We start from the raw sequence: 13160 nt of genomic DNA on the forward strand, positions 1-13160 counted from the left end.
TTTATTCCAGGAATTCAAAGTTGGTTCAATATTAGAAAATTAACCACTGTAATTCAGGATGTTAATAAAATAGAAAAACAATGTGGTTATTTCAATAACTGCAGAAAAAGCATATGAGAAAATTCAACACTCACTCATGATAAAAATGCTCATAGTAGCACAAAATTGGAAACAACCCAAATGTCTATGAACAAGTGAGTGCTTGAACAAAATGTGGTGTTTCCATACAGTGGAATACTAATCAGTAATAAAAAGGAGTGACTTATTGACATGCATGATAATATGGATGCATCTCAAAATCATTATGCTGAGGGAAAAAAAGCCAGACAAAAATAAGTACACACTGTGTGGTTCCATTTGTGTAAAACTCTAGATACGTGGTCAAGGGTAGAAAGAGACTGCACAGGAGTGCAGGGAAGCTTTGGGACTGATGGAAATATTCTGAATATTCATTGCGACAGTGATTTCATGTTCACATCTGCCAACATTTATCAAACTGCTTATTTTAAATACAGGCAGTTTATTGCACATAAGTTATGCCTCAATAAATTGGACAAAATAAAGATCATGCACCCAATCCCAGCACTTGGGGAGGCCGAGGCAGGCGGATCACGAGGTCAGGAGATCGAGACCATCCTGGCTAACACGGTGAAACCCCGTCCCTACTAAAAATACAAAAAAGTAGCCAGGCGTGGTGGCGGGCGCCTGTAGTCCCAGCTACTTGGGAGGAGGCTGAGGCAGGAGAAAGGTGTGAACCCAGGAGGCAGAGCTTGCAGTGAGCCAAGATAGCGCCACTGCACTCCAGCCTGGGCAACAGAGTGAGACTCCGTCTCAAAAAAAAAAAAAAAGAAAAGAAAAGAAAAAAAATAAGATCATGCAGCCAGAATTACTGGGAAAAGTATTATAGAAGTGTTTAAGGTAAATAATTAATGAAAATATTATGCTAATTTCTGGATTTTATGTTTGTGGTATTTGTAATGTTTTAAAATTTCAATTCCTAAGAGGAAATACAGGAAAAATGTTCCATATCTGCCCCTGTTTTTGCTCAGCCACTGACTTTTGGAGTTCTTCAGGCCTGGAGTCTCTCTCATCTTCTCACTCCACCATCTCCATACTTGATCTCATCCTGTCCACCTCTTCATTTTTGACTTGATTATTGACATCTCATCAGTTCACAACTCTAGCCCAGAATGCTCTTCTGAGCTCCAAACCTATGATAAGTAGACCTACTGCTGTGTACTTAACATCTCTTCAATGTCCAAAGTCCTTTTAAGCTCAACATCTCCAAAATTGTCCATATGATCTTCTCCCCACCAAACCCAGTTCTCCTCCATTGTTCCTTTTTTCAGTTGATTTAACTTCTCTCTATCAACCGCAATGGGAAAGCCAGAAACCCTGAGGTCATCGTCTCCTTCCACCACCTCCAATGCAACACCATTGACTTTGTTGATTCTCTGCATCCCAAACAGTCACCAGGGTCCATGGTCTGAACCATCTGCTCCTGCCTGGACTAGGACTCCTCATGGTTGACCATGTCCATTCTGATCACTCCTTCTCCTCCCCACCGCCTCAGTGACCTCTGAAATGCAAATTTACTCATGTCACTTCCCTGCTCACTACCTTTCAGTGGCTCCCATTGCTCTTAGAATCAAGACCAAAATCTTTAACCTTTCTTTCAGGCAAGTCTGATATTCAGCCAAGGCATACCAGAATGGCTGTTCCAATGGTTAAGATATTGAAAGACTTTTGTATTATTAGCAATCATTCATAGGAAGGAGGCCTCCCACAATACTATGCCTGAAAGGGGGCATGAAGGCCCTTTAGCACACTAGTCCTGAGTGCCCTACCTTGTCCAGGGCAGGTGGCCACAATGGACAAGCCAGTGTCTGACCCCTGGTGGCCCTGTGTACTGGCTCTGCATCTCAAAATGATGAGTCCTAGCATCGGCCTCCAAGCTGCCTGGCTACTGTTAATGCACACATCACGGCCTCTGTCTCAGTGCTTGAATGCCAGGACAGCAGGGATTTGGATTCAGCAGAGCAAGTTTTCTGAAGGTAAGCCTCATGAAGCTGTGGTTAGCTAAGGAGATTGTATAGTTCCGCAAAGACTTTTAAAAACAGGAAGCCAGCAGAAGGATTTTTTTCTTACCCCAAAAGTTTTCCCCTAATAAAAGGTCTTTCTTACATGTCTTTCTTATATTTGGTTCTTATTTATACTTTCTATTTCTTTGCTAAGACTTTCTGTTCTTTTATTTATTTTAAGTTTGATCAAAATTGTCCACTGAGGGGCCGGGCGCAGTGGATCACGCCTGTAATCCTAGCACTTTGGGAGGCGGAGGCGGGTAGATCACTGGAGATCAGGAGTTCGAAACCAGCTTGACCAACATGGTGAAACCCTGTTTCTACTAAAAATGCAAAAGAGTTAGCCAGGCATGGTGGTGGGCGCCTGTAACCCCAGCTACTCGGAGGCTGAGGCAGGAGAATCGCTTAAATCCGGAAGGCGGAGGATGCAGTGAGCAGAGATTGCACCATTGCACTCCAGCCTGGGTGACAGAGCAAGAAGTCTCCCTTAAAAAAAAAAAAAATTGTCCATTGATATATTTTAAAAAATAATATCTGTTTTAAAGTCCTTGTTAGGTAATTCCAATATCTGTGTCATGTACCTAATGGTGTTTGTTGATCTTGTTTTCTCATTCAAGTTAATATTGGATCTTAGTTTCCCAGTCCCTAGTATGATGAGTAATTTTCAACTATATCCCGGACATTTAGGGTACTATGGTATAGGACTCTTAATCTTATTTAAATCTCTATTTTAACAGTCCTTCACTGACACCACCATTGTGGGGAGGAGGAAGGAGCCTTTCTTGTGTCTATTCAGTCTCTTCATAAGGGACACTTTCTAGCACTAAATTTATCATGGAAAAAGAAGAAATCACACAGCAACAGTTAACTGCCCTGCACATCGTGCTCACCAAAACATATCAGTTGGAATAAATAAGGCATTTCTGTACAGCCCGGGAACAATTTTCTCCACTATTTTTTAAGTTATAGGCTTTACAAATTGGCTTTCCTCTTTGATAACTCTGTTCATTCTACTTTCCCCCATGTATTATTAAAAAAGTATTCAATGATTTCAATTCCTCCTGGAAATCCTGGTGCTCCTTGCTTTGAAATGAACTTCCGTGTGTGTGTATGTGTGTATGTATGCCTCTCTTTTCCTGCAGTGCCATACACTCAAGAGTAAGTGAGAAATCTATTTAATTGTTGTATCTCCAGAACCCAGCAGAAGCCTTGAACCATAGTAATCTCTTAAAGCATTGCATTGAAACTAAACTCTAGAATAGTTCGTGTAACTTTTTAAAATTCAAGATTCAGAAGAGAGATTTAAAAGTGTCACAAGCAAAGTTTCTCAACATCATTAATACTCAAAGAAACATAAATGTACATAAAAGAAACAACAATGAGCCTCTCATATTGCCAAAGATTAAAAACACTGCTTATGCTACAGCTGATATTCAACATATAAGCATTCATCCAACAGGTGTCTGCTGGATGGGTGGGGTGTGTGTCTCTCTTGCTGATGGGCTTCTGTTGTCTCTGGTCTTCGGTACTCATACCTGGCTAGTTGTTATTTTACCATCTAGTGGGTATTTTAAAATCCATACCTGGGTTATACTCTGTGTTAGTAGAGGTGAGGTCAGGTGTTGGTGGTAGTGTGAATTAAAACACTTTTGACGGTGGCCTGCACCTGTAGCCCCAGCTACTTGGGAGGCTGAGGCAGGAGGGTCACTTGTTCAGGCTGGACAACATAGTGTCTCTAAAAAAATTTTGGAGAGTAACTTAGCAATATTTATCAAGGTATACATACCCTTTGACCCAGCAGTTCAATACCTGCAGATATACTCACATAAATGCACAAAGATAGATGTATAAGGACTTTCCATGCAGCATTTCCATGCAGTGTCGGCACCACGCTGGAAATGTCGTAAACACTTATCAGTAGGGATTTATGTCCAGGCATCAGCTTCATGGGTGTGTAGCAGCAGCTTCCTCATCCCTGGGTTGCAGCCACGAACTCAACAACCCCAATGGCGGCTCCTGCTTCCCCCTCTCACTGACCATGGCAGAGGGAGCAGCTCCCTGAGAGGCCTGTATGGTGGAAGAGTTCTGGGAGTCCCTTCTGGAAACCCAACCTGGAGCTCACTCCTCTGGTCCATCCAGTGATTTGGTAAATTTCTGAGTTCTAGAACATACCACCATGGCTGTGATCCTAGGAACAGGATGCCCCCAGCACCCAGAATACTGGCAGCTAGACATAGGAAAGTCTTCTGCTGCAGCAGCATGAGCTGCCTGCAGGAAGTAGCCAGGAGCATTTGCAGGGACTTCTGCCTCTGACTGTCTTCCAGGTCATGTGCAAACACTTGTGGAAGGTCCAGCTGGAAGGAAGCATAGAAAGTAAGGTTTTTCACTTTCCAGCCCCGTGATGCAGAAAGGTAATACTAGAAGGAGATGGAAGAGGATGGCAAGTGCCAATTAAAAATATCCAAACCCTATCAATATAATTTCTTTCTTTTTTTTTTTTTATCTGTTTTGAGACAGGGTCTTGCTCTGTCACCCAGGCTGGAGTGTAGTGGCACAAACATGGCTTACTGCAGCCTCAACCTCCTGGGTCCAGGTGATCCTCTCACCTCAACCTCCCATGTAGCTGGGATCACAGGCACATACCATGACACCTGGCTAATTTTCTTTATTTTTTGTAGTGATGGGGTCTCACTATGTTTCCCAGGATGATCTCGAACTCCTAGGTTTAAGTGATCCTCCCAGCTTGGCCTCCCAACATGCTGGGATTATAGGTGTGAGCCGCTGCACCTGGCCCACATTTCTTAGTTCTTTAATATACTAGGGAACTCAAAAATTGGAAATGGCCATGCAGCCTTTGAGAAACACTAGTGATAGTAGGATGAAAAGAGACCTACTTAAAAAAATTTTTTTTCAGTTTCCATTCATTTTTGGCTAAGTTCTTGAACCTCTTTCCCCACTGCTCAGTCTGCCTCCCACAACACTTCTGAAGTCTCAGCCTAAATTGTGTAGGCACCTAAGCAAAAAGAACAAATCTGGAGGCATCACATTGCCCAACTTCAAACTATACTATAAGACTGTAGTTACCAAAACAGCATGGTACTGGTATAAAAATAGGCACATAGACCAATGGAACAGAATAGAGATCCCAGAAATAAAGCCAAATACTTACAAGCCAACTGATCTTTGACAAAGCATACAAAAGCATAAAGTGGGGAAAGAACTCTGTATTCAATAAATGGTGCTGGGATAACTTGCAAGCCACATGTAGGAAAATTAAACTGGATCCTCACTTCTCACCTTATGCAAAAATCAAATCAAGATGGATCAAAGACTTAAATCTAAGACCTGAAACCATAAACGTTATAGAAGATAATATCAGAAAAAATCCTGAAGACATTGGCTTAAGCAAAGAATTTATGACTAAGAACCCAAAAGCAAACGCAACAAAAACAAAAATAAATAAATAGGACCTAATTAAGCTAAAAAGCTTCTGCACAGCAAAGGAAATAATTAGCAGAGTTAACAGACAACCCACAGAGTGGGAGAAAATATTTGCAAACTATGCATCTGACAAAGGACTAATATCCAGGGTCTACAAGGAACTCAAACAAATCAGCAAGAAAAAACAAATAATCCCATCAAAAAGTGGACAAACAACATGAATAGGCAATTCTCAAAAGAAGATATACAAATGGCCAAGAAACATGAAAAAATGCTCAACATCGGTAATCATCAAGGAAATGCAAATCAAAACCACAATGTGATACCATCTTACTCCTGCAAGAATGGCCATAATTTCAAATTCAAAAAACAATAGATGTTGGTGTTGATGTGGTGAAAAGGGAACACTTTTACACTGCTGGTGAGAGTGTAAACCAGCACAACCACTATGGAAAATAGTATGGAGATTCCTTAAAGAACTCAAAGTAGATCTACCATTTGATTCAGCAATCCCACTACTGGGTATCTACCCAAAGGAAAAGAAGTCATTATATGAAAAAGACACCTGCACACACGTTTATGGCAGTACAATTCGCAATTGCAAAAATATGGAATCAGCCTAAATGCCCATGAGTGAATAAAGAAAATGTGGTGTATATACACGATGGAATACTACTCAGCCATAAAACGGAATGAAATAGAGGCCTTTGCAGCAACTTGGATGGAGCTGGAGGCCATTATTCTAAGTGAAGTAACCCAGGAATGGAAAACCAAATATCGTATGTTCTCACTTATAAGTGGGAGCTAAGCTATGAGGACACAAAGGCATAAGAATAATATAATGGACTTTGGGGACTCGGGGGAGGAGGTGGGGAGGATAAAAGACTGCATATTGGGTACAGTGTACACTGTTCAGGTGACAAGTGCACCAACATCTCTGAGATCACCACTAAAGAACTTATCCATGTAACCCAAAACCACCTGTTCCTCAAAAACTATTGAAATAACATTTAAAAATAAAAATAAATAAATTGTGTAGGCATGTGAATGTTTTGCAGGGAGGTTCTTTTAAATCAGCATCTCAAAGGAGCATAAGACCCCAAAAAGCTTGCCAACCACTGTGCTGAGGGAAGCAGGAACAATTGTGACCATCCTCAGCCAGAGTGGAGTGGAGCTGTCCGGGACCATGTGTGCTGGTGGCAGGTGGGATTCAGGTTCTGCAAAGGCCCCAGCCCCCTCAATCCCGTTTCCTTCCAGAGTCCCTTATTTGTTGACCCTTAAGAGCCAAATTTGGTTGTGTAGCATGGTCACCTGTGGAATTTGTTAAATTCTAGTCCCCACTTTAACCCAGACCTACTGAACCAAAATTATGAAGAGAGAAACCAGTTGAACCAGAAATCTTAATCTTTAACATACTTGATGAGTGATTCAGGTGCAGTTCCCAAATTTGGGAACCAGAGTGCAGAGAACTGTGTGCTTGGTTGCTGCCAGGCCCTATTTCCTCCCTGGTGCTCCCTGCCCCATGCCAGCGGCTGGCCCAGACACAGGGCAGCCAAGACACACGCTTGGGGACAGGTTAGCCTTGGTCAGTCCCTCTGGGACTCATGGTGCCATTGCCCAACGTGCCCTTCAGGCTTCCTGTCTGGAGTAATGGGGACTCTTGCCTTCTACAAGGTATTGGGAAAGACTGACTCACGTCAAGAACTTTGAAATCTGCAGATAAAAGGCAATGCCCTGTTCCCTCCCTGAACTGTCGTCACAGACAGTGTTCTGTGAAGAGATCTCAGCCACCCCTTTTGCAGACTGTCTACAAATGACTGCCTGTCATCTGTTATCCTGTTATTGTTCCCATCCCATGCTGCTGTGCAAGGACCTCACTGCAGAGGACGTCTTCACAAGTGTGATCCAAAATGTCTCTAGCGGGATCTCCCTCAGCTGTGGAATCAGCTAAGTTTAACCCTATTGTCATCATCCTGTGGACCTTAAACACACTTTATTATACCTAAGAGCAGTCAGCGTTCCATAGGGTGAAGGGCGAGCGGATGACGTCTGCCCAAGGCGGCCAGATGTCGCCACGGGGCCAGTGGCTTTTATCCTGCGGCTGATGAATTTCGCATATATCAATATTTATCAGTTGGAATACTGTCAGTTTTATTAATGGAAACTGAATGACCGTAAATCATTCTGAGGGTAGGGAATCGGGGGAGGGAGGAAGCTCTGTTTGTACGCTTGCCAGCCAGGTGTGTTTCTTCATTCAGTGAACAAGTGTGGGCTGCTGGCCCACCAGACAGGGGGCCGGGGGACCGAGTGCCCACCGTTCCTTCTGCTGCATCATATCCCTGGCAGACGGGCAGAAGCAATTCACTAGCCTTCAAACCTCCTGGCCTTGTTTATAAGATAGTTTAATATTTGCTTTTCTTTCCACAGTGTTCAGAGCCATCGGGAGTAGTAGCACCTGCTGTCTTGGAGCTGGAAGACGCACAGTCAGCACTGCTGTTTGGTCCCTCAACCCCCTTCCACCATGGCAGGCTTATAGGCCGATTTCCTTGAGATCTAGTAATTTCTTCAACTTTAGATGAAATTGCATGAACGATAAATAACAGATCCATCTACTGAGCACCCACTATGTGTATGGGACTAGGACCTCTGTGACACCCTGGTGAGGTCAGCTCTATTCTGAGCCCCATGTTACAGGTGGAAAAACTGAGGGCCAGAGAGGTTAAGTAACTTGTCCAGGTTCCCACATCCAGGACGTGGCAGAGCCAGGATGACAAACCAAATTCAGCGTGTTTTCAGAACCTGGGCTCTTACAGTGACAGGCTGACCCGGGCTTCCTTAGATGGGGCCAGTGGCAAAGAGCCCCAGGAAACGTCCTGAGTTCATGAGCTTCAATCCAACACCACTGCTTTGGTCTCTCTTCCAAGGAGAGAGAACATTGGTGGTGAAGGAGAGTTGGTTCAGAAAATGGCCCTTCCTTTAGAGCTTTTCAAACTTTGACAGGTACCTGAATTGCCTGGGGAGCTTGTTCAAACATGGATTACTAAACCCACCACGATGTTCTGATTCCACAGGTCTGCGCTGGAGCCTGGAATTTGCATTTCCAAGAAGCTCCAAGGTGATGCTGGTGCTGCTGGTCTAGCGACCACACTTTGAGACCACTGCCATGGCCTGTGACATTCACCTGAAGTATCAAGCTAAGCAACACCGGGTCTCAGCCTCTGCTCTTCCCACCACTGGGTTACACACACTTTCCCAAGTCTTGGGATCCCAGAGGGATGTTCTCACTGTCCACATCTCCACCTGCAGAGTTCTGATAGTCACTCTCACCTCCAGTCACAATCCTTTCCAAAGGGGCACTGACACAGAAAACAGGAGGGACAGAACAATTTCTAACACAACCGAGCAGGTCAGGAACGGCAGGTAGCCTTTCCGGGCATACCACGGACCTGCTCTGTTTGTGGTAAGGACTTTCCCGCGTCCCTTAAGCCACACTCTATAGGATCACCATTTCTTCTGCCTTGTCAGACTAGCCTGATGCTCTTGATATCCGAGGCTACCGAACCAGTTTCCCTAGGACACAAGAGGGTGTACACGCCTGTAAAGAAAAAAAGAGTGCAACCAGGCGCATATAAGAAAAAACACAGATACAAGGGAAAAGCTGGGAGGTAGGGGGCTGAGGTGGCAGCTGAAGGAAATGATGAATTAAAGGCTGGCTTTCCCCATGGCAATCGCCTGTTCTGTGCATCAGCGAAAACAACCATAGGTGGCTTTTCCCTCCTTCATTTTCTTTCCAATTAAGTCCTGCATATTTCTTCACGTACTCACCTTAGGAAGGACCCTGGACCTCCCTCCGTCCACACCCTCCTTTCATCTGCCCCCTCCCATCACCACACCTGCCTCTGCCGGCAGAGTGACCTTTCCTCAGCAGGGCCTCCCTTCCAGCCAGCGGGAGGAGAAGGGCGTGCGCTGGCAGGTGGTCACGTAGGCGGGAATGCAACCTTGCTGTGCCCCTCCAGCACCACTGCAGACCCCCCAAGGAAAATGAAGTCCACCACTCCCCTGCAGACTCCTCAAGGGCAGAGAAGCACCCCACCACCCTGCAGACCCCTCAAGGAAAATGAAGCCCCCCGCCACAACTTTGCACACCTCTCAAGGCCAATGGTTGTGCCTTTTTGGCACAAAGTGAGGATTGAACTGAGGCTTCGTGAATGAGTTAAACGAATGACATTTTAGGTCTCATACAGGACAAACAGACACACTGCACATTTGCCTACACGACAGCCCTGTGCATGGCAACCCCCACTGACTGATGTGCGTCATGTAGATGCCCAGAGACCGCTGCTTTGGCTGGACCAAACCCCAAGGCCAGTGCGAGCAGGAGAATCTGCGTTCCACTCCCCCGCTGCAACTCAACACCCTTTCCCTCCCTCCCTCCTTTCCTTCCACAGTGATTCAGTGAGCATCACTCTGTGCCCAGCTTCTGGCTGGCCATTAAGGATTCCATGGTGAATGAGGCCATCATTCCAATCGCCAGCCACAGAAACCAGTGCCCCAAGAGGCCTCATTCCCTGGGCTGAGCCTAAGATGCACTCTTTGCAGAGCAGGGAAGGAATGGCTGTTGTTTCCAGAGCCCAGGATGAAACTGTGTGTGAGGGAACTGTTTCAGGCCTGGGGATAACAGGGCACACGTGGTTTCAATGTTTTATTCAAGCCTAGCATATACGCTGAGAAGGGCACCACTCACCAGCAGACAGACGTCCATACCCAGGTAACCAGCGACCAGATGGAGAAGCAGAACACGCCCCAGAAGCCGTCCCAGGCTCTGTTTTAACCACCACACCCTTTCCCCACCAAATATAGCCGCGATCCTACTTTGGAATAATATAAAACACCTTTGCCTGTTTTTGAACTTTATAAGTTTGTCTCTGCCTTCCTTTGCTCTACACCGTCTTTGTGAGGTTCATCCACATTTTTGCAGGTAGCTGAGTTAGTCATCCATCCACAATGAGGAGAGTATCCACTTGTCTGAATAAAACAGGATTTATTTTTCCCTTCAGCTGTTTTTGGATATTTGGGTAGTTTCCAGATTGGGTCTATCACAAATGGTACAGCTAAGGACAATCTAGTGTGTGTCTTTTGATGAACTGGACCCAAGAGTGAAGTGCTGAGTCATAGGGTGTGCATGTTTAGCCTCAGAGGGCATTGCCAAAGGGTTTTCAAAGTGGTTCTATCAATGCATATCCCATCTCATCGGCACTCAGTATGGTCTGTCTTCCTCCTGGTGCCATTCTGATAGGTGTGTACTGGTATAACATCCTGGTTTTGATTTGTGTTTCTCTAAAGGTTATTGATGTTAAGCATCTTTTTGTAAGTTTAATGGCCACTTGAACATCTTATCTTGTCCCCAGTTTTTCCTAACTTCTTGACTCTGGGGGAACTTTGCTTTATTTTTTGCTTCTTTTATTTTTTGTCAACATGAGTGAAAATTAGCTTCCACTTAATGTATGTCTGGCTCACATTTATGTACATGGCCAATCATCAGAGAAAATAAAGACTATATTAATAATGATGAAACATTACATTTTAAGTGCTTACTCAGTGTTATCTCATTTAATCTTCACAAACCCTCATGACCGTTTTTTATAAAAGAGAAAACTAAGGCCCAGAGATGTTAAGTAACTTACACCAGATCACACAGCTAAGTGTCTGAGTCAGGATTTAAAGCCAGGCAGCCTCGCTCCAGAGCTGCCTCACTCACCCTCTTTTGTGGCTGTAAAGTGGTGTGGGGGGCAGGTTCCCAGCCCCTGCCACCCACAGCGCTTTACACATACAAAAGAGACTGCCCACCTCCATCAACTGGCTAGAAATGGGTTTCTAGTGGTACCATAACGACGGTCTCCACTTGTCCCAGATTTTCCAAGACAGCCTTGATAGAGCAACCCTCTTCTACAGTCAGACATGCACCTGCATCTTTCGTTTGGAAGAGACAGGCCCTTATAACCATCGACCCATGTTCTAGATTGGAACTTTGAGGCTGCTGACTCCCTCCTGGGAACCCCACCTTCCAGTCATCTGCATTCCCTCTTGTTTCCTCTCCTGAATCCACAGCTCCTTTGAGGAAAGGAGCTATTGGTTATTCATTTTGATATTACCCTTTATAAAGGAACAGAGGGAGGAAAGTCGATGGTCTCATAAAAGCTTTAACTACTACCAAAATAAAAACTTATTCACCACTAATCTCTATCAAAAGCCACATCTACACAAGAGGAACATTGACTAAATATGTTGGAAATATCTAATGAAAACTATAAGCCTCTTTCCACCCCTTAACCCCTACCTTTAGGCTAAAACTATGGTAATAATAATAATAACAAAGTGTCTCCAACTATTTCATCATCAGATCTAAGCCACCATTTGAGTACACAGAGAGGCCTTGTGCCTTGGTCCAGAGACCAGCGAACTCCACTAAGAGGAAAGTAGAAAAATAGAGCAGAGAGTGAGCCAGCGTCAGCAGGTACTGCTCCTGCAGCTCTGTGCAGCCTGATCCCTGCAGAGCAGGGTGTAGGGACATGGCGCAGGTGGCCCTTAGGAAGATGGGCTCTTGCCTCCCACCCGCGTCTCCCTACCTTTGTCTCGCTGCCATGGCAAAAATTCCCTTGTCCCCCTCGCACGGCGTGCGATGGGGGAGTGGCTCGCTTCTTCAGTGCCCCGCTGCTCAAACCTCCAGGGGAGCATAGACGGGCAGGCTGTGGGACTCCGACCCCACGGCAGTGTCTAGGGGTGGATGTTTACAGCTCCTGAAGCCCCAGTGGGCGTGTGCTACCGGGTGCTCTATAGGCAGCTTGTGTTAACCAGCTCAGTCAGACTCTCTACCTCGTCACAAGGACAGAGGGCTTTCTGTATCCCAGGTTCTTGCCCTGGTGTACGGGAAGAATCGGATCACACGTGGGCTTGGAGAATGAGTGCAAGGTGTTATTGAGTGGAGATAGCTCTCAGCAGATGGGGGAGCCAGAAGGGGATGGAGTGGGAAGGTTTTCCCTGGAGTCGGGCCACTCGGCAGCCTGGACTCTCCTCCGACTGCCTCAGCCAAACTCTACGGACTTCTGCGGGTCGGTGGCCTGCCAGCGTGCTCAGCTTACCGACGGTCCTCTCCTCCTCCCCTGTCGACGTCCAGCCACCCGTGTGCTCCTCCGCTGATGTGCTTCTTTGGAAGACCAGCTGCCTGTGTGTCTGCCGCTCAGGGTTTTTACAGGCACAGGATGGGGGTGTGGCAGGCTACGGTGGTCTTGGGAAAAGCAACATTTGGGCAGGAAAACAAAAATGCCTGTCCTTGGCTAGGCGCGGTGGCTCACGCCTGTAATCCCAGCACTTTGGGAGGCCAAGGTGGGTGGATCACGAGATCAGGAGTTCAAGACCAGCCTGGCCAAGACGGTGAAACTCCGTCTCTACTAAAAATACAAAAATTAGCCAGGCACGGTGGCAGGCGCCTGTAATCCCAGCTACTAGGGAGGCTAAGGCAGGAGAATCGCTTGAACCCAGGGGACGAAGGTTGCAGTGAGCTGAGATTGTGCCACTGCATTCCAGTCTGGGTGACAGAGTGAGACTCCGTCTCAAAAACTAAAATAAAATAAAAAATGC

The 13160-nt window shown here is 45.6% G+C and overlaps 1 long non-coding RNA gene across 1 annotated transcript in view; it reads right to left on the minus strand.

The window, feature by feature from the left end:
* PLUT (PDX1 associated lncRNA, upregulator of transcription) overlaps positions 1-13160 on the minus strand; it is a 98200-nt gene that overhangs the window by 25010 nt on the left and 60030 nt on the right. The window contains exon 2 of the long non-coding RNA NR_047484.2: positions 3907-4435. This is a non-coding gene — a long non-coding RNA (PDX1 associated lncRNA, upregulator of transcription). The remainder of the gene's footprint in view (positions 1-3906; positions 4436-13160) is intronic.

This window comes from Homo sapiens, chromosome 13 (genome assembly GCF_000001405.40).
Source record: "Homo sapiens chromosome 13, GRCh38.p14 Primary Assembly".
NCBI lineage: Eukaryota > Metazoa > Chordata > Mammalia > Primates > Hominidae > Homo > Homo sapiens.